We start from the raw sequence: 23,113 nt of genomic DNA on the forward strand, positions 1-23,113 counted from the left end.
CATGAGAAACCTGTGGGATCCCTAGAGGCAAAAACCATGGAGTATATGAGGTATGAGGCATCCTTAAGACTGTAGCAGCTAGGAGGGTTGGATACACATGCTGGTACACACTCAGCCTCCAGAAATTCCTCAAATTTATGATTTAAGTGTTCCTACCAGATGATGGCTTCAGCAGCTTTTGCTCTAGGAAAGCATACTCCAGATGTGACTCTAGACTCACCTGCCTCCCCAGATTTTGGAGTGGAATTTGGCCCTCCAGACTTAGCTCTTTGATGGGTTCAGGAAAAGTCATTGATTTTCAAGTTGCCCATTGTTTTCTTGTTGTAAGACAATATTGGTGACTCTTAAGCTCCTTACGGGTTGGAATTGAAACCAGAAATCCATACATTCCTTGAGTCATCATCCCCAATGGCATCACTTTCATTAATTTCTGGAAAAATTCTCTAAGCAAAAATATAGTTTCAGTGGAGAATGAAATTAATGTTTATACTGGCAAGTGACTATTCAGAGTTAAGTTTAGAAAGAAGACTCAGAATCCAAATTCTACCCTCAAAATATCTGAATAATCTGTTAGACTAACTCTGTTTTCATTTTTCTTATGTATGACTGATTTAAAGACTCTAATAATTATTAAGGTATATGTTTACTTTTACCTCAACCCATTTCAATCAAGATAAAGAAGAAGATGATTCTGTGTGTCTTTCTTATGTATTTGGTATGTGGAGTCTCATGTTGAAATTAAGGAAAAGTAGTGATGCTTCACAATTGCTTTTGATGGAGACTTACGCTTTCTTGATTAAAGTTCAGTTGAAAAGGGCAATGTATTATTTGTCCTTATGGTTTGACAAAATGACGTCAGCTTTTATAAAATCCAGTTTGAAAATGACTACATCCAGAAGGTTAATCACAAGGAACACAATGGTACCTGAATATTAATAAAGAAATATTTAAATTTTGTGAAAAGAGGAGCCTAAAGACCTACCCTCCACTTACCTTACTCATGGGAATAAAACCTATACAACTAGAAGTCAAAACTTATCAGATAGTACATTGCCCTGTAATTTGCTTAAATAAATAAATCTTCATATTACACTTGTAATGTAGTTTACTGTGGAGAAACACAGACTTTGAGAAAACTTAAAAATAAATCTCAGACAAGTAATTTACAATCTCTATGACTGTGGCTAAATTATGAACAATTAGAGCTACTGCGCTGGATATTAAAGAAATTAAATTAATAAAATACTAAATCAGACATAGATGGCAATAGACAAGTATCAAAGGTGGACTAAGGTATAGCTATTAGCAGGTCCTGTCTAGTCACGGGATAATTGATACAGAACTTTCCTTAATTCCTAGCGCTTGGACTTGTAAGCTGTGGGGAAATGAGAAGCAAACATTTGTTTCCCCCAGACTCAGGAAAGATAGCGTAAAACAAAACTCCAAAGGAAAAAATGTGAATTTCTCATCACCATCCAATCAAAATGCAATCTACTGTCATTCAAATCAATAAACATTTACAGAGAGCCTAGTCATGGTACTGCCACAAAAGCAGCATTTGAAGGGCTCAAAGTGTAGAGGAGAGTTTATAAATGCAAATAATGAAAAATAAAACATGTTAGTGAGGTAACGCTAGACAATTAGTCAACAGAACAGAACAGAGTCAAGAAATAGACCCATCCATTTAAAGATAATGTATTTACGAAAAAAGGGGCACGGAACTGCAGAGTAGTAGAAAAAGGAGAGAGTTTTAGGTGATGGTGCTGATTCAACAGAATTTTGACCCCTAACTCACATCACACACAGGCACACAGACACACACACATAAACACACAAACAGCTTTTCATTGATGGCATATTTAAATGTGGAAAATCAAATAAGAAAGTTTCTAAAGTTAATATTTTTATTAATTTGGGGTAAACAAAGTTTTATTTAAAAGGATGAGAAAATTACTAACTATAAACAGAAGATCAATAAATTAGATTCATTTCTGTTAATCTAAATACACCATTAAGGGCATAAAAAGACAAGGAATGATATGGAAGAAGTTAAGCTAAATATGTATACTCAACAAAGAGTTAATATCTAGACCATGTGAAGAACTATCCAATCCTGAAGACAGACAAACCTACTAAAAATAGGGACAAATGACATGGATGTTACTTCAAGCAAAAAATTTAAATGGCCAAGAAACAAGAAACATTTTATTTAAAAAGTGCTCAATTCAATGGACCATCAAGAAAATTAAAAACAAAACAAACATTTTTTAGAATTACATTCTCACTAGAAGTGCTAAATGTAAATAGGCTGACAACTTCAAGTGTTGGTGAGGGTGTAGAACAACTGGAATTCTCATACTCTGATAGTAGAAGTCAATATTAGCATAACTGCAAGGATAACTTTGTAATGGTGTAAAATAGAGCTGAACAAGCACATCCTACATAACTTAATTCCACCCTTACACATATTGCAGAATAGAAATAGATACAGATGTGTATTAAAATATAGCCGAAGAATACAAGAATATTCTGTACACTAATTCTAATAGATCCAAACTAGAAACAACCCAAAGGCTCATCAACAAAAGAATGTATAAATATATTTTGGTGTTTTAACCTTGAATATTATGTACACAAAAAATTAAAAGACTACTGGTACATATAACAATATGGAAAAATCACACATAATATTTAGTACAAGAAGACAGACACCAATGGGTAAATACTTTATAATTTCATTTTACAGTTCAAGAACATGCAAAAATTAGTTATGTATGTTATATGTTAACTAAAATCTCATTTAAAATGATGTTAAAAATAACAGTTCAACAAGATTAACAGTAGACATATGGCTGAGATAAAATTCAGGCTGAGCCAATGTGTGATTAGGGTAAGAGGCACAGAGAGGGCCGGGGAAAGGCTTCAAAAAATAGGGGATACAGATGTCACAAAATCAAAATATCCAGGAGAGCAAGCAAATAAGGCAAATAATGAACCAGAATGAAATTAACAACAGTGGCATGATCATGATAGTAAGTGGAACTGGCATTCTGCTTCATTGTCAGGAAGTCTCTAGGGCAAGATTGAACTGAGAACCAGAAGTGTGTGCCCTGTCTAAAGGGAACAGCTGGGAGTTACTGCGAGCTGCCTGCCAATCACTTTCTTGCACAGTGATACAGTTTCTAGCTTTTCTAGCTATTCCAGTTCCTCAAAAAGGTAAATATTCAGGCTTTTAAAACTTTATTTCCTTTTAATTAATGAAATATATGCCCCCACACATTTTAGGTTGAGTGAGAGAAAAAATGTATCTTTAATTGTTACATGTCCCATAGCTTATAACTTCTGGCAAATTCTGTGATAGTTCAGGACTGTTTTGTTCACCTCAGTATCTTTTGTGCCTGGCATATAGTATGCAAGCAGTACCTTTGTTTCTGAATAAATCAAAAGATTAATTAATGAACTCAAGACTGTGTTTTTGTAAAAGCAAGTATGAGTTTTCAAAACAGAGCTGAAGAACATACCGCTCTCGATGATGACCTATGCAAAAGGATGGATGACTGTAAAAAGCATATGTTTGGGGACCCATGTGTAAGTCAGGATCGCAGGAGCTTAGTTTTATTATTTGCAATATTGAGCAAAAGAGCATGAAGCCAGAGAGGTATGGGGGAGAAAGACAGTGAGGGAACTAGGTGTCATGCTAAGAGGTTTGAATATTTATCTTATGGGAATAGATTATAGGAAGCCATCAAAGGCGTAAGCAGAAACTTGGTTAGGTTTGCAATTAGAAAGAACATTCTGGTGGAAGTGTGTTCATGGGGTAGAGAGATAAGAGACATCACTCCTAATTTTTCCTTTTCAAAACAGCTTTCCCAAGGACTTTTTGGGTCTCTCAAGTACATAGGGTCAGAAGTCTAAAAAGCAGCTTAAGGAATAAACCATCAAACAATCCCTCTACTGTCAGGTAAGAATATATGGTTGAGTATCACTTGTCCAGCTCAGTCATCTTGCAAGCAATTGACGTTGGTTATTTCTGTGTTGAAATTAAGTCATGAAACACAAAGCGCTGAACCAGATTCTTAATTTGGACTTAATCGCATTTATTATAGTGCAAAACAAATACATTCTTCCCAGACCAGAGCAACATTGAATAGCATTGTAAACTAATTTTTTTGATGTCAAGGAAAGATGAAAACAAGATAAAACATGCGAGAGAAGCAGCTTGCATTAGATCAGGCACAGTAAAACTAAGAAACATCAGTTGCTACTAGCAAAGAAGCAAAAGTCCATGGAGTTTGAATTTTTGTTGTGGATGCTCAGAGTGATTATTCACTGGAACAAAGAAGCTGCTGGTTTCACAGTCCAGAGCAAGATGGACGACACGTGCTGAACACATGGGTCAGAGGTTGGCAACCACTGAACAGAGGCCCCAGAGGTCTGAGGCTGCTGGACACAACGTGAAGACTTTGAGGACGATAGGCCAAGCAACTCGAGGGTTGGCATCCAGAAGTGAGGAGGTTTTGGGGCTGGCAACTCTTGGACAAGCAGAATTGGGGGCGATAGGCATTGGGCACACAGTCTCCTATGGGCTGGTAACTATTGAGCAGCGGCCTCAGTGGACGACAGCCGCTGGACACATACCTCTGTGGTCTACAGGATACTGGAAGGCAGGAACTGGAGAAGAAAGAAGCAGGAAGAAAACTGCTTCCTTGGCAAGGCCTGGGCACGTAGTAAGCAGTGGAAGAACCGCAAGAGGTTTCAAGATTGCCGGTCTCACAGTGGACCGGCTGGCAGCTGGTTGGTTCACCGCAGGTCTCTTGGCAGTTGTCTGTGACCCAGGTATGGTCTTGAGAGCTAGTGGGTAAGTAGAGGACATCTCCACAGCTCACGCTGGTAGGGCAGAGGTCGATGGAGGTGAGAGGAATATGGCGGGAGGTTCTGAGAGATCCTGAGTTGGAGTTTCCCGAGCAGTAGTTGGGGCAAGACATAGTGAGGTTGTGAGAGCAGGCTGAAGTTGAGGCAAAGAAGTGAGTGTCTGAAGTTTGTTCTGCCCTTCCTTAGCTTGACCCTTTATTTATCCCTAGAAGGTGGTGCTTCTGCGTGCAGACTCTTCCTCTTGTTGTATGAAGATGCATCAGAACTCTTTATTATAGCCAAGGAAGTGAGGCTTCCACCCTCCATAAAACTGGATGCTCCTTGCAATGCCATCCATTGATTACGTCTATCTATAAACCAATGCGACTGAGTTTTAATAGGATCTATCCTTCTTAAATTATCCAAACAAAACAGACACATTTTAAAGCCTATGTGCTTATTCCAATTATAACCACCATTGCACAAACATTCTTAAGATTCCTCTCTTAGAATTGTCTTTGAAAGTTGTAGCAACTTCTTTGAAACAGTGAGAACTTACATCTTTTTGAAGAAAAATTCTATTCTTCTTGGAAATTGCCAGAAGTGAGTAACTTGGAACAAGTATAAGAGAAAATGAAAATCCTTGCAAACTATATGACAGAAATATGGACAATTTCAATATGTTTTGCTTGGTTAGAATTTATTTTTCTAAGTTGTGATTTGCTTTATTTCAGAATTCTATTCAGACTTGACTTTCTACCAAAATATCTTTATTCAAAAATATGTGCTCATTTTAGTCATTTCAATAAATAAATAAGCTGAGTGAAGCTGAAACCTTGGCTTATGTTTAAGATATTCTTGAATATAGATAATGAAGTTGGGCCAAGTTAAAATTATGTATCCTACTGTGAACAAAAGCAGAGAAGTAGACCTCTTAAAGAAAGTCAGGCATCTTGACATTTTTCATGATTATTTCAAGGTTATGTATTGCATGGTTTCTCATATTCCAACTGAAAAAATATTGTTCTTGGTTAAAAAATACACTGATTATGACATGAATTTATTTTGCTTTCTACATTGGCCTTGATGTCAATTTCCAAAAAGGAGCTTCTAAACTGCTTTACATAGGGAAAAGCATCAGGATAAATTATTGTTTTCCTAAGTTTTAGTACTTTAAAGGTCATTTGAGAATATGTATTTCTGGTAAAATTGTTTTAAAAAATGTATGATTTTAGTTAGTTTCAACTATCCCTCTATATTTTTCTCATACTGACATACCCAGTGGCTCCAGTAGCTATTTTAATGGGATTTTAAATTATCTGCTGGCTCTAAGTTCCAATTCCTTTTGGCTAGTCAATTTAAATCATAACACTTTCTTCTATTTTGGTGTTTGAGGGACATACTTGTGCTTATCCAGTCTCCCTCTGTCCTGGAGGAGTGAAATCTCTGAAACAGAAAGTTGGTTTCTCAATGAGACAACACTAGACTATTTTACTACTGGGGGAGAAATATAAAAATAAAATGGTATAATCCCGGAGGTCCTGTACTAACATGTTGAATTTATCTCAGTATTTTAGGTCAGACGATTTGTACCTGATGTATTTGAGAAAGCCCCACTCACTCCAACCCCCAACCCCAGGCCCTCATCACCTAATACTGTTTGTATAACCGGATACTTTGTATACTTCGGACATCACCTAATACTCTGTGTATACAGCTGCTAGAGTCTTCTTGTAAAATCCTGGTTGCATCAGCTGAATGGCGTTAGTAATAGGTACAGTCATATTTAGCTGAATGCTTATGAAATTGTATGTTGATCCTTTTTATGTCTGCTCTTCTCTAATATAAACAAGAGCCCAACATCTGTATCATTAGTACATCAATACGCTTGTGTGTATGTGTGGATAGATGTATATACTACATGTTCTATGTATACATGGATGGTTTTCCATGAAGAGAAGGGGTGTGGAATAAGAGGAAACTGGCATTCATGGAATGCCTACTCTGAAGAACCTTGTGCTGTGGGTGCCCACATGTGCCATTCACTTTGTCCTCACAATTCTATACAGTAGATCTTACTATTTCAAGTACTCATACGAGAAAACTTGAGCTTTAGAAAGTTGCAGTAATAGGTATTACGAAAAACATCTGAAAAAAGGCTCCTTGACTCCCCAAACAGTTTTTCTCTATCCAATATGGCATTACATAGAGATGCATTGATACTATCATTTAATAACCAATAACCGTGTGAATTGGGTAATTTGCATAATTGCTCTGCTCCCCAGTCACTATCAGTATAATTTTATGGAAATATTAATAGTATCTACTTTTCAGTGACATTTCAGGAATATATTGAGATGTCATTAAAAGTTAAAATAAACTGTAAAACGTTATACAAGAGTAATCTATTTTCTTGCTTTGGCGTTCTTAACCCATTCTGGAGAGTACGACCTTGGGTTTAATTTCTTTAGAGCACCACCATGAGTTTCTCGTGTGTGTGTGGGGGGGGGGGGGCGGTGGGGGGGTAAAATTGCAAAAATATCAACAGATCTTCAGAAAGTGAAGTACCCTGAATATAAGTTGTCCTTCATGTAATATAGGTTGAACTAAAATTATTTCATAGTGGCTGTGTCACTAATAGAGAATTGCTTATTTGGGCATAATACCAGGTACCTCATTAGCAGGATCCTATAAACTACATGTTTCAGACTTCTCTTCTGAGTTAAGAGCCCAGGGATAATCGGAGGAACTGGGCATCCTGTGTGATTTCCCAGATTTACCCATGGCGTTGCTTTTTTTTTTTTTTTTTTTTTTTTTTTAATAAACCATGGATCTTTGTCTCTCCTACTGTAGAAGGAGAATTCTGAGTTTCTCTGTCTTGGAGACAAAAAATCCCCAGAACATTTCAACAATAAAGTTGTGCCAATAAACAAGGTACTTTTAACTCATCCATTCAGCAAATATTATTGAGCATGTAGTATGTGCAAAACATTATGATAGATGCTGGCAATGGAACCAACATAAAATTGGTTTCTGCTCTCAGATGTACACTATCTGGTAAGCGTGATAAGACAGGTACATAACCCATGTCAGTGTTTACTAAGTTCCGTAAGTAATGTACAGAGAAGAGCAAACATAGTTCATTCACCTTACCAAAAATTTAACATTTGATATTAATTTTGAAAGATGGAAGGGGCTTTGGAGAAGAGGAAAACACTTTAGGCTATGGAAGAAGATGTCAAGGTAGAGAAAATGACAACATAGAGCTTCCCAGTGAAGGATTCTAAGAAGCAAACTCATATTCACATGTTGAAATTACTGGGGGAAGTAGTTAAGATATTGTTCTAAAGGTGTGGTGATCCAGTAATGTGTTTCAAGAAGAGAGTGCTGAGGTTAATTTGCAGCATAGATTGGAAAGTGGGAAAACCTGTTATGCTTTTCTCCCTTTATCTTCTAAAATTATATATTTCTTTCCATTTTTTTCTTTCTGTTATCATGGCAATGATTTAAGTTGGGCTTTTTTGTTCTCCTTCAGTGAATTTCCTACTGCCACCTTTGACTTCTGTCCCTATGGTCTTCTATTTTGCCTAAATAATGCATTTGAAATAATACTCATGAAATTAATTTCATCATATGATTCTCTTTCTCAAAAAAGTGGATGATTTCTCTTTGTCAACAGAGAATTGTTCTGACACTTGTCTGGCCCTTCTCTACTTCCCAGTAAAGATTCTCTCCTACTTTTTTGGGTTGCCTGTTAATATTTACTAGTTCTAATAGTTTTTTGGTGGAGTCTTTAGGGTTTCTAATGTATAGAATCGTGTCACATGCAAACAGAGACAATTTTACTTCGTTATGATTTGGGTGATTTTCTTTTTTTTTTTTTTTCTGACTAATTGCTCTGGCTAGGACTTCTAGTACTATATTGAATAGAAGTAGAAAGAGTGGGCATCCTTGTCTTGTTCCTGATCTAGGGAGAAAAGCTTTTAGGTTTTCACCATTGTGTGTTTCACCTGTGAGTCTGTCATATATGGACTTTGTTATGTTGAAGTATATTCCTTCTGTGCCTAATTTGTTAAAGTCTTTATCGTGAAAGTTTGTTGAATTCTGTCAAATGCTTTTTCTACATCCATAGGGATGATAACTTTTATCCTTCTTTCTGCTAATTTGGTGTATCACATTCATTGATATGCATGTGTTGAATCATCCTAGCCTCCCAGGAATAAAATTCACTTAATCATGTTGTATCATCCTTTGAATGTGCCATTGAATCCTGCTTACTAGTATTTTGTTGAGGACTTTTGCATCTATCTTAATCAGGCATATTGGCTTCCAGTTTATGTTTTCATTTCTGTTTTATCTTTTATTATCCTTGACCAACACTAGTATCAGGGTAATGCTGGTTTTGTAAAATAAATTTGGAAATGTTTAAAAAACAACAAGCCTTACTTCTACAAATCTTCCTAATTTTATAAAAAATTTTCTATTTGACTTTTTTCTGCTCTATTTTTTTTTCTTCTGCTGACTTTGGGCTTAGTTTGTTATTCTTTCTCTAACTTCTTGAGAAGTTAAGTTGTTTGAAATCTTTCTTTTTTCAGGTAGGTATTTTTTGCTGTAAACATCTTAAAATGGTTTTCGATGCATTCCAAAGTTTTGGAATGTTGTGCTTCCATTTTCATTGTCTCAATATTTTTTAATTTCTCTTTTGATTTTTTCTTTGATTTATTGGTTGTTCAGTAGTGTGTTGTTTAATTTTCACATATTTGTGAATTTTTCAATTTTCCTCTTGTTACTGATTTCTAGTTTGGTGGTTTAATATCATTATGGTTGGATGTTTAATATGATTTTAATTTCCCTAAGACTTTTTTGGGGGCTAACCCATAATCTATCCTGGATAATATTTAGTGTGTGCTAGAAAAGAATGTGTATTCTTCTCCTGTTGGATGAAATGTTTTGTATAAATCTGTTAGGTAAGTCTGCTGTTTCCTTTTTGATCTTCTGTCTGGGTGATGTATCCACTGTTGAAACCGGGGTATCAAAGTCTCCTGTGATTATCATACTACTGTCAATTTCTCCCCTCAGTTCTGTTAATATTTGTTTTTATATTTAGGTATTCCAATGTTGGGTGCATATGTATTTGTGATTGTTATATCCTCTTTATGAATGGACTCCTTTTTCATGATATAATGACCTTCTTTGTCCTTATGATAGTTTTTGGTGTAAAGACTATTTTGCACAGTAGAAGATCTAGCCACCACTGCTCTCATTTGGTTACCATTTTCATGGAATAACTTTCACTTTCAGCCTATGTGAGTTCTAAACTCTCAATTGAGTCTCTTGTAGACAGCATTTTAGTTGGATCTTTTAAAAAAATATATTCAGCCACCCTGTATTTTTTAAGTGGATATTTAAATCCATTTACATTTAAAGTAATTCTTGATTACTTTACTGCTGCCAAGAACTTACTACTGCCATTTTAATTGTTTTCTGTCTGTTTTGTGATTCCTTGTTCTTTTTGATTTGACGATTTTTTCTTAGTGGTATGCTTTGATTCTTTTAATTTTAATGTGTTTACAACAGCTTATTCTTGGTGATCACCATAAGGCTTACATAAAACATCTTCTAACTGTTTATTTTAAGCTGACAATAATTTCACTTTGATCACATACAGAAGTTCTACACTTCTTCCCCACACACACATATTTTGTTATTGATGTCATAATTACATCTTTTTATATTATGTATCTATTAACAAATTATTTTAGCTGTATTAGGGTTCTTCAGAGGATCAAAACTAATAGAATATATATAAATATATGAGGATATTTATTATGAAAATTGACTCACATGATTATGAAAGCCGAAAAGCTCCATCCATGCCATCTGCAAGATGGAGAACCAGAAAAGTCACTGGTGTAATTTAATATGAGTCCAAGGGCCTGAGAACCATGGAGGGTTGGGGAAGGGAGTGTTGGTGTAAATCCTGGAGTCCAAAGGCCCAAAAACCAAGAGCTCCAGTATTGAAGAGCAGGAGAAGATGGCTCTCCCAGCTCCAGAAGAGAGAGGAAATTTACCTTTCCTGCACCATTTTCTTCCCTCCTGGGCTCCATTGGATTGGATGAGGTCTGACAGATTGATAAGGGCAGATCTTCCTTATTTAGTCTACTAATTCAAATGCTAATCTCTTTTAGAAACACCTTCACAGACACATCTAGAAATATGCTTTGCCCACTATTTTGGTAAATCCTTAACCAGCCAAATTGACACCTGTAATTAACTATCACAGTAGTTATAGTTGTTTTTAATACTTTTGTCTTTTAACTTTTACACTAAAGTTAAAAGTGATTTATATACCACTATTACAATATTAAAGTATTCTGAATTTGAGTAGATACTTACCTTTAACAGTGAGTTTTATACTTTCTCAAGTTTTCATGTTTCTTATTAGTGCCTTTTCATTTCAAGTTGAAGACCTCCCTTTAGCATACCTTATAAGGCAGATCTAGTGTTGAGGAAATTCTTAGGCTTTTGTATATCTCAGAAAGTCTTTATTTCTTTTTCATTTCTGAGAGCCAGCTTCACTGGGGATATTATTCTTAGTTGGCAAGTGTTTGTTTGTCTGTTTCAGCACTTTGAATACATCATTCCACTCTACTGGCCTGAAAGGGTTTTGCTGAGAAATTTCCTGATAGTCTCTTGAAACTTCCCTAGTTTGTGACAAGTCATTTTTCTTCATAATGGGGGAGTACATACTCATGATTAACAAACATGTCTCTCAAGTCTCATGTAGCCAAAAGGTACAAACTTTGTGTCTGCAGCAGGAAAACAACATGGCTGCAACTGCTGGTCCAGTTACTCCATGGCTTAATTAAACTGTGTCAATAATGATTATATTACTGCTTAATATAGAACATTCGGTGGACTAAAAAATTACATGTTTGTTTGTTTGAGCCCCTAGCAGATGTCTTGCTGCCAAAAACTATAAGTAAAAGCATCTTGTTTTCTGGTGCTAAGCTGCTATCTGTCTCTCCACACCTGCTAATCTGTTCCTCCTTCTCTATCCTGACATAAGTCACTTTAAGGAGAAAGACAATTCAGGGTAGGAACAATGTCTATATCTTTCCCCAAGAGAGACTGAAGCTGTATACACTCATTCAGATACATTGAGGAACTTCAAGAAAAAGAGGAACTCAAACTTTTGTCGCTCTCTTGGATACAGGTGTCCAAGTTACCATTTTACTCAGTCCAGTGGAGGTGAAAGGGAAATACTTGAATACAGCTAATGAGGCTTTGGAAGAGATTACAGATGGAAAGGAAAAATAATGTGACTTTCTAGGTGGAGCCCTTTGTGTCAGTTTAATGTACAATTGACCCTTGGCATCTTTGGGGGACTGGTTCCAGAATCCCTGCAGATACCAAAATTTATGGATACTCAAGTACTTGTTATAAAATGATATAGTATTTGCATTTAATTCACACACATGCTGTCATCTACTTTAAATCATTTCTAGATTACTAATAATAGCTGATACAATGCAAGTGCTATGTAAATAGTTATTATGTGTTTTCTAGGGACGAATTATAAGGAAAAATGTCTGTATATGTTCAACACATATGCAATCATCTTTGTTTCCCTTAATGTTTTCAGTCTGTGATTAGTTGAATCCACAGATGGTGAACCCACAGATACAGAGGGCAAACTATACTTTTGCTGTTGTGTTATATGACTATGTTACCCCGTTCCATAAATTACAAAAGGGATTCCACTGATTGTGAAGATCTGTATTCATAGAAGTGCTAGTACTTTTGGGGTCTCTGTGAGTTACAAGTCACTGTGACTGATGATTTTGTTATTGGAGCACTTAGCATAGGTAGACGCCTCCATTCACTGAATGCCACTTGGAGTCTTGTTAATAGTATTCTAACCTGAATGATATATGAGATATATTAAATAGATTTGGTTGCAGCCTCTATTGGTCAGACTAATCGGAGTGGTCAGTGGAATGTCATTCTCATGGGAAAATTCACCAGGAGCAGTGCAGTGTAGAGATAAGAGTTGGGTATTGTTTCAGGGAAAATAATCCCCATGGGTCTCTTGCATTTCTGCATGTCTTCAGTGCAGTCACTGGCTCCCTTTGTTCTAAATTAACTTTTCAAGCATGTTTTTAGAGAAACAGTCTTGGAAAATAGATACAGTGTTTCTCTCAGGGTCAAATGTCAAACATGCTTACTCTTCATGATGTCTATGATCCAGGGTTCCTAAACTCAACATTCCTCTCCTGTGAAACAACCTGCTGCATATGCAGGTGTCAGCTGGCCCTATGGGAATTGGAGCTCAGGGATCTGGTGTCAATGCTAACACTCTGGCTTCGGCTATTGCCATAAATGATAAAGGCCTTTGTCTCTAACCTAGGCTTCTTATGTCTTCTGCCTGCATTCCCGAAACTATGACGGGTTAACTTGTTAGCATACAAATAGGATAAAATTTCTGACTTTTCACAGTTCTCAATGCCCCTTCCACAGGTTTCGGTTTTCTAGTTGAAATTGTGGCACTGCAACGTCATCATAATCACCAACTCTATTGCTTTGACAATCTTTTAATAAGACACAGACATTTTAGTCAAAGTATAATATAGTCATAATAATATTGAAATAATTATGGGCAATTTATGCAGTAATAACTAGTAGAGATTAATCGAAGCTATTAGAAGATAAAGAAAGCAACTTGATACCATATTGAAAATACATCTTAAAGGCTTATAAGGCATTAAAAGAAAAAGCTGACAAAGAAAAGGGACACATGTGAACCACAGTTTAGTTAATAAACAGTCTGCTCATGGAATAGGAGAGCAATAAATAGGTCTGTCACATATTTTTTACAGCAATCCAGCCATATAACATAGCCCTCCATGAGACTGCCCATTTTCCCCAACTATGCTAGATAGAAATGTTTGGATAGTTTACTTGGGAATTGACAATTATGAGGGAGTACTCAAAATACCCCCGTGAGCTATATAAGCAACAGCTTTTGCCCCTGACTTCCATATTGTATATAATATATATAGGTATACAATATGTATACAATATGTATAGATATGGCAATATGTATACAATATGATGCATTTGTATACAATAAGCATAAGTATACAATATGTATACATACACAGTATGCAAGTCAGGGGCAAAAGCTGTTTATTATATAGCTCATCATTTGTTAACAAGTGAAGGTGCTGCACGACGGGGCAGCAGCTGCTAAATCCCAATCATGAATGAGATGCAAGAGCCAGCCCAGGGGTTAATAGCTCTAAGACCAGTGAATCCTGGGACAGCCACTGCTGTCCATGTAGTCCAAAACATTGATCACAGATTGCTTGGTGGAAGGAAGTAAAGACTTAGGACGAAAAAGATTGTATGGCAGGTTCTGGACACATCACAAGCAGAGGAGTACAGGGAGTGGTTTCACAAGATCTGGGTCCGCGGCATGCTGTTGGCAGCTGGGGATCCCCTCAGGTTTCTTGGCAGTAGTTCAGGAGCTGGATTCTGCCATAGCTGTTCCTGGCTTAGCAGAGGACATCTCTGAGGGTCACATGAAAAAAGGGGCTATTAGAGGGGATGACAGCCCCATGGCAATAACCCCTGAGGGAATGACAGCTGTGGTTTTCACCTGAGCAATTATTGAAAGACAAGATGACCTTAGTTTAGATTATAGGTAAAGTACTCGCACTTACTTAATGCTATTTCTCCTTCTTTGCTGTGGCTTCTAGAATTTTTTAGTAATGACTACTAGCATTCAGTGTAGGTTTTATTCTGACTCACTATTTCAAATGTGGTTATGAACATAGCTCAATTATTCAGATGTCAGGAAAATGGCTACTTATTACTATGAAAAAAGTACTCAGTGAATCTCTAAAGCAAGAGAACTGTGGTCTTGTTTACTTTTTAACAAACCATGCATCTAGAAAAACAATATTTCAAGTTTTATTAAAATATATTTAAAATTCTGTGGCTAGATGAATATTTATTACACCTGGAATATTAATTTAAAATAGGTTACATTTATGACCTAATAAAGACTTGTATATGTGTTAAGTGTGGCCTTTAAGGTACATAAAGGGCTCACTAAAATTATTGTGCTTCATATGTTTAAATATTCTTAATAAACTTCTCATGAGAGATACTTCAATGTACAATCAGTAGGACACTAGGTTGAGCATCACAAGGCTTGAGTTCTAGCCCTGATCGGCTGGTAATGAGCCACGTGAAATTGAATAACTCATTTAACCTCAGCAGATGTATTTGCTCAACTGCAGAATAAGTAAGGTTCACTAAAGATCTCTTACACATTTAGACATGATTGTGATTCTATGAAAACATAACTGTGATAGAAATGAGGCAGCTTCAGAAGAAACCATGCAAAAATGGTCACTGGTCTTTGCCATAAATACAAAGGCCACAGCATTTCACTCAGATATCTGATGGAAGCTTGGGAAACATTTAACTCTGATTAGGCATCTTTCAGAGCAAAACACAGCTTGGGCTGATATTTGTCCTCTAAGGAAAACTCAAAGGCTCAAAGTGTAGAATATTGTTTTTTTTAATTGCCTAACATTTCATTTGTAGCCTTAGGGCCATGGAGCACTGACCTTGCATTAGAAGCCCCTCCAGGACCTTCTCAAGATCAATGGTTTGATCTCCACCATCATTCACTGCTGGAAATTAAACCAGACTCCTGAGGACCAAGCCACCATCAGCTGTAGCCTCAGGGAGATGGGAATGTGGGAGCAGGCCCACTTTAAGCAAGCTGCTGAATAAATATAGACTTGAAAAATGGAAGAAACACATGAAGCCTGTTTCTGTTTTCTAAGAAAGATGTGTTTCTTTCAGTGGTAATGTATATTCTAACTTTAATCTGGTAAGTACACCTGTAATCACTACAAACCTTGTGAATATCAACAGCTAAAATTTAAAATTTATTTATTGTACTTGCTCCTGCAGTTTAATTTAATAAAATATGAGGTCTAGAGGAAGGTACTTTGTTCCTAAGAATCTCAACATGCATTATTAGATTGGTTTCCTAACATATAGAGTGTGAAAGTGAATTCGCTCATGCCAAGTGGGAGATAAGAACAATGGCTAATAACTCTACTCTAAATTTTGACACAGTTTATTGTGAAAGAGGGCTTTTTAATCCAGGTGTTTCACTCTGCACAGTCAATTTAAATAAGGAGCATGCAACTGTCCATAAAGTAATAGTGACAAGGCACTGCAATAATAAGGGTGATGCTATTCTTAGCTTTCTCTTTGATTTTTAGCCTTCTTTTCTCATTATCTTTGTCAATTAGTAGTTACTAAACTCCTTCAGGGCCAACGACCCAGTACCATTGAGTAATGGAAGAATAGAAATTGGCTTAACTATTTTCTGAAATTTACCCTCAACATTTCTATGTTCTTAAGTTTGGATACAACTACATTAGTTTTGCCTCTGAGATCCAAGGGACAACTCTCTTTGAATGCCATCAGTGACTTTGTTTCCGTAAAGCTAGAGGAAGTTATACAAAAAGTCAGGCAAATAACTTATTCTTATGCAACTACAAAAAGATTTGTATTTTATTTTAAAATTGAGCTTTAGATGTTTAGTGTATTTGTACCTATCTACCTATGATGCATTTTATACTTCATCAAGGCCGTATCTCTGATATAACCAGAATATGATTTATTAATTATATTAGCTGTTTCCTTCTTAAATATTTTTCAATCAACTATTATTTGAGTCCAAGTGGAAGATTTTAGAACAACTCTCTAGGTAAAAGAATTTCAAATGAGGAAGTAAGTAAGACTCCTGGAAATAAAACAGAAAGCACAACTAGGGAAGGATATTGTGGCTTCAATAGAGATATGAGTGATTCTCATCTAACATGGAGCAAAGTCCTGTCCAATCCTATTAGTGTCTACAATGAGCTCAAAATTTTCAAGAGAAATAGTATTTAATTTAAAAAGAATAAGGACTAAAGGATATGGAAAATGAAAGTACTACCATTAAGACGATAATTGTTGTATTGTAGGTGAATCTGACTCCATGCCATCTAAATCCTTTTCCTAGCATCTAGATTCTATTGATGACACATGACTTGAAGTTAGTATTTGTTTTTTTCTAAGATATTTCAATTGCATAATATTTTACAAACTCTAATGAAAATATGTTCATTTCCTTTATTGCATTTATTTTTGAGTTACAAATGAGCCATCCAGTCAACAATACTCAGTTCTCTGGGTGTTTCTTCTGCAGTCTCACAGCAATACAATATAACCAGACCAATCATTTTTAGTCAAATTATTTGTATCGGTCCTCCACATTGCACAGATATTTCTTCCACATTTGAAGCTACTCTAATGACTAGAAGTATAATATAAGTAAAGCACAATTAAAGTATTACAGTGTTATACTCAAACTTTAAAGATTCATGGGTTAAAACCCTCGTTCCACCATTTACTTCCTGTACTGGAAAAGTTACTTAAATTACAGAGTAGGGAGTAAGTAAGACTCTTGAAAGTAGAAAGACAGAGTAGAACTAGGGAAGGATATCGTGGCTTAAAGAAAGATATGAGTAATTCTCTTCTAACACAAAGCAAAGTCTTGTCCTCCACAGGACAAATTTGTGCCTTTGTCCTCACTGGAAAAAGGGGGATTTACTAATGTTACTTATACCACTGGGTTATTTGAGTTTAAAATGATAAAATATGTACAAAGTGTTAGGTAAATAATAAGCACCCAATTAATAAGAGCTATTTTATGGCTCTTGACCCAGCACTGTACAGGCAAGAAGACATTCTTGATAGTCATTATGCTTTACTTCTAAGAGAAAAACATGTGGTTAAACTACCAATGTCTTGAGGTGTTCAGGATACCAATGTACAAATCCTACCATTCTTTTTAGGCAGGAAGAAGTCCCTTGGTCTATGAAGAATGCTCTGTAGCATGCATATACCCACCGGTATGTTTTGACATTGCTTAAAAATGAGTCCTGCATAGAATATCCTGGTTATGTCCCATACTGCTTACATTCTTTTCACATGGAATGAAATAATTTTCTTGGTCTCTGCCCTGGATTCAAATGCATTATAGACAATCATAAAAACAAACTGAAATTGAGGCCCAAGAGAAAAATATCAGACGAAGTATCAAATGATACCTAGCATATATTGTGCTCTTATTATGTGCCAAACAGTCCACTAAGCATTTAATTGGAATCATGCCATTTAGTTGTCATAATCATCCAATGACTTTAATATTATTATCTCCATTTTACAATAATGGAACCAAGTCTCAGAAATGTTAATTTGGGCCAGGTGCAGTGGCTCACGCCTGTAATCCCAGCATTTTTGAAGGCTGAGGCAGGTGGATCACTTGATGTCAGGAGTTTGAGACCAGCCTGCCCAGCATGATGAAACCCCATCTCTACAAGAAGTACAAATATTAGCCAGGTGTTGTGGCATGCACCTGTAATTCCAGCTACTTGGGAGGCTGAGGCATGAGAATCGCTTGAACCCGGGAGACAGAGTTTGCAGGGAGCTAACATTGCACTACTGCCCTCCAGCCTGGGCAGCAAAGTGAGACACTGACAAAAAAAAAAAAAAAAAAGAAAAAGAAAAAAAGAATGTTAATTCATCCCAGAGCACATAGCTTTTAATACACAGAATTTGGAATTGAGTAAGATCTAGTCATACTATAAGATTCATGTCCTTTTCCTTACACTAAATTTTCTACCAAGGTTTATATAATTATGGCATTCCATATTCCAATATCAAAAGTCTTTTTGTACCTGAGTCCACATAATTTCTTTCTATGAGGAGCTCTAATATGCTCCATGTTGAGTTAGATTAAATACTGGCTCCTTCTTCAGCTAGCTTCTCTTTCTAGCAGTGGTCAAGCTCAGCCTGGAAAGCTAATGTCTAGAATGATGAACAGAGTAGATGGGAAAGTGAAACTTAACATCACGTCCCTCTTTCCTGGCATTCCCCTGCTCCACAACACATACCACACATAGCCCGTTTTCGCCAAAGTCCTGTTTTCTCAGCAAGCTACACCCAGTAAAATAATATATACTTGGAAGGCACATGGAATGGGTAGGTTTTCCCTCTTGTCTTTAGAAACAGTGGTCCAAATGAATTGAGCTTTTTCTGGGCAACCCAGTTGGCATTGCAATAGTAAAAATCCTTATTGTGAATGAACTTGATCTATGTTCACATGATTGGCTGTGACTAGAATGCTGAGAAGCTGCCACGAGATAAATTCTGTCTTTACTGTTGCCAATGCTGTGTTACTGCCATCAGTGCTGTGGACAGAAGCTTTATGTCAATGTTGTTTGCTTCAGGGATGTTCTGCTATTGAGGCTGCCAAAGGCTCTGAGTACTATTGATGGTATTGAATAGTGTTTGGCCTCTCTCAGACTTCCGTCAATCCTATCCCTCTACAGAGCACCTGTGTATGTGGTGGTTTACAGATTTTAGGCTTAAGTCTTCCTCTTTGAGATGGCCTGTGTCTATCCCACTGTATTATTCAGGGCTACATAGAGAAACAGAACCAATAAAATAGATAGATAGATGATAGATGATAGATGATAGATAGATAGATAGATAGATAGATAGATAGATAGATAGACAGACTATATATAATATATATTTATCTCACTGTATATATGTGTGTGTATATATATGCATGTGTGTGTGTGTGTGTGTGTGTGTGTGTGTGTGTGTGTATGAAGAGAGAGAGAGAGTGAGTGATTTATCACGAAGGATTGGCTCACACAATTATGGAGGCTAAGAAATCTCATGATGTGTCACCTGCAACCTGGAAACTCAAGGAAACCAGTGATATAATTCCAGTCCAAATGTGAAGATCTGAGAACCAGGGGAGCCAATGGTATAAATCCAGTCCAAGGGCAGGAGAAACCCAATGTCTCTGCTCAAGTAGGCTTGCAGGAAACATAAACGGGCACATTTCTCCTTCCCCGACCATTTGTTTTATTTAGGCCCTCAATGGACTGAACGATTCCCATCCACATTGGAGAGGGCCATCTACTGAGCACACTGATTTAAATGCTTATCTCCCTTGAACACTCTCACAGACACACTCAGAAATAATGCTTAATCTGGGCAGCCCTTGGCTCAATCATGTTGATACATAGAATTACCATGGCACCCACCCTCAGAACTAACTGGTAAATTATCAGTAGCATTAGGTTTGCCATAGATTCAGAGATACTTGCCAATTTACTTCAACTAGACAGCGTTTAAGTTTCTTAATTTTCTCCCTTAGTAGATGATGCTGCCTGCATCTTCCAAAATACAAAACAGCTAATCTCTCTTTTGTTGGATGACTAGCTTTCCTAATCTCTCATGGATTTCTGGGTTTATTTACAAATCCCCACTACCTCCCCCATACCAAGTCTCTGAGCTAGCTGAGTTGCTAAATATGCTATATACATGGTAATTTTTTAAGCCTTACACTTTCAATTTATTAACTTATTAAGGCTCACAGTAGCCCTATTATTATCCTTCACTTTTGAAGTTGAAGAAACTGAGGTGGTTAAATAACTTGCACACAGTCACACAGTTGGAACTTAAACAGCCATCACTAAGCAAAGCTAAGATTCCAGCTCAAGGAAATCCATATTCAGAGTTCATGCTCTCAACCACTACCTTATTTTGCCCTGAAAAAATGTGAGATCCAAGGCCAGGCATGGTGGCTCACGCCTGTAATCCCAGCACTTTGGGAGGCCGAGGCAGGCGGATCACGAGGTCAGGAGATTGAGACCATCCTGGCTAATGTGGTGAAACCCGTTTCTACTACAAATACAAAAAATTAGCCGGGCATGGTGGCAGGCACCTGTAGTCCCAGCTACTCGGGAGTCTGAGGCAGGAGAATGGCGTGAACCCAGGAAGCAGAGCTTGCAGTGAGCCGAGATTGCGCCACTGCACTCCAGCCTGGGTGACATAGCGAGACTCCATCTCAAAAAAAAAAAAAAAAATTGAAAGATCAATTTAAGAACACACCAAAAGTTTCAGAATAGCTAAGCTACCTAAATAAAATTAATCAATTTCAAACATCTGACTCTATGGTCTTATGATGTTCATATGAGTATATTTTCCATCTTCTGTTGACTACCACCATGAGTTATTCTTTTCTGGTTCACACTATAAAAATTATAACAAGAGGATATGTTCTCTTTTCTTCTAAATATTTATACTATTTTCATTAGGTAACAAACGAAGAAACAAAAAGCCTGTAACATAACACCTGCAAAAGGATTGAATAAAAATAATAGTGTGACAAGTCCAAATTTTGCTTCCAAAGAAAGCAAATTTATTTAATACAAAGAATATTTTCCAAACTCAAAAAATACTTAAGAAATAATGAAAACAGGAAAAAAACAAACAACCAAAAAAACAACGGGAACGAAATGAAGTGAAGATTCTAAACTTCAATTCATTCTATTTAAAGGCTTCTGGTTGCTACGTGGTTATAAAGCCCATGGAGGTGAAATTCAAAATTACCTTGCTCTATTCGAACAATAGACTTAATCTTCTAGTTAATTTGAGAATGTTGTGATTCAATGGCTAAAATAACAGATGGCCAGTGAGTAGGCCTGGATTTTAGTTGTGGTTCTGATGTTATTAACTACTTGGGCAACCTCTGATAGAGTTGAACCTATCGTAATTCACAGGACTAGGTAGGCTTTTAGGTTTGGTTCCAATATTTTATGAATTTCTGAGACTAGTAGCACATTACTTAATAAACCAGATCCAATGCTAAGTATTTCCAAAGAAAACAACTTGCAGTTAAAGTGTGATGTTTCCTTTAAGTATTCATGTTATTTCCTGGCTACAGCTCTTATTGCTTAATAACAAATCGTATCCTACTGCTCTAAAATAGCTAGCATGCTTTCCAACCCCAGATTACCACTAGACATACCCAAAAGAAAAACAAGAAAAAAAATCTTGTCTTTGGAGACAGTAGTAAAATAAGACATGTTCATTTACTAACAAACACACACAACATTTTTTATTTAAAGAAATACAAAATATCTAAGTATCTCAAAAATAAATTCATCCAAATGAGAATATAAGCCATCTCCCCTACAGATCTTCACTTACTAGGCAATTGAGAACCACCAGTAACACAGCAAGTTGGTTCAACTCCTGGAGAAGATTCCAGGAGTTGTGGCTCAGGTGCAACATTGACCAGAGGTCTACAGGAACTGGATTCAGGGTTCTGAGACTGACACTGACATTGGCTAGATGCACGTTCCAGAGTTTCGAAATTTTTAGACTTAGAAGTCTTGGGTGGGCAACTGTTTCCCTTGAGGCTTGCAGGTTGGCAGCTCTGGGCTACAAAACCCATCTGCTGAGTGCTTTCTGATTGGCAAGGCTGAGAAACACAAGCCAGCCCTGCTGAAGAACTTTCTGATTGGCACGCTGTCCTTTCGCAGGGCCTGGAATTGGAGTAAGTAGTTTGGACAACTCCGGGGAAGCAGTTACTTTGCACACAGCTATCGTCTGTGAATAAGTCCTGTTCACAATTGGTCATTTGGCAGCTGGTGGTTTCATTGCAGGTTTCTTGAAAGTTGTCCAGGAAACAGGTTCTGCTATGGAAGCTGCTGGGCAAACACAATCTGTCTTCAAAGGTTATAGGATTAGTGCCATGTGTGATGGCAGAGAGTGGTGGGGCATTGTGGAAGCTCCTGAGTGAATGGCAGTGGCTATGAGGCATATTGCTAAAAATCCTTAAAGATGGTCATAAGGACTCAACATGCTGAGTTTGAAAATTAAATTCTTTGGTGCGGCGATTATATACTCAGAAACCTGGGTGTTGGCTTCTCAAGACTTCTTTGCAACTCATTGCTTAAACTAATTTGAAGGATAACATCTCATTACCACTTTGGTTATATATGCAGATGATGTCTTATTAACAAAGATGTAAGTCCATTTTGAATCTTCAAAATGGCTTTTATGTTAGCTCCAAAGATGACTCATTCAAGGTGGGGTTGGTCAAATAAGAGTCTAAACCTGTCCAACCAAGCTAACATTTTTTTTTTTTTTTGCCACCATGACTCTGCACATTGGTAAGTGGACAATGAGAAATGCATGAGGCAGTGGCCAACTGAATACTGATTAACATTTAGCACTGGTTTTGAGAGCTGCCAATGTAGCAGAATGTGGTAATTTGATGTTCAAGACATTTAAAGTTAGAATTGGATCCAGGTTG

General features: G+C 36.8%; 2 protein-coding genes across 2 annotated transcripts; both read right to left on the reverse strand.

The window, feature by feature from the left end:
* Window positions 1-4,073: 4,073 nt before the first annotated feature.
* KRTAP26-1 (keratin associated protein 26-1) lies at window positions 4,074-5,265 on the reverse strand. The gene has a single exon (NM_203405.2). It carries the CDS (start codon window positions 4,983-4,985, stop codon window positions 4,353-4,355), a length of 633 nt encoding a protein of 210 aa, NP_981950.1. The 5' UTR covers window positions 4,986-5,265; the 3' UTR covers window positions 4,074-4,352.
* Window positions 5,266-21,962: 16,697 nt separating this feature from the next.
* Window positions 21,963-22,644, reverse strand: KRTAP27-1 (keratin associated protein 27-1). Its single transcript, NM_001077711.1, has one exon. The coding sequence runs from the start codon at window positions 22,616-22,618 to the stop codon at window positions 21,995-21,997; it is 624 nt and encodes a 207-aa protein (NP_001071179.1). The 5' UTR covers window positions 22,619-22,644; the 3' UTR covers window positions 21,963-21,994.
* Between the last annotated feature and the right edge of the window lie 469 nt (window positions 22,645-23,113).

Source organism: Homo sapiens, chromosome 21 (assembly GCF_000001405.40).
Source record: "Homo sapiens chromosome 21, GRCh38.p14 Primary Assembly".
NCBI lineage: Eukaryota > Metazoa > Chordata > Mammalia > Primates > Hominidae > Homo > Homo sapiens.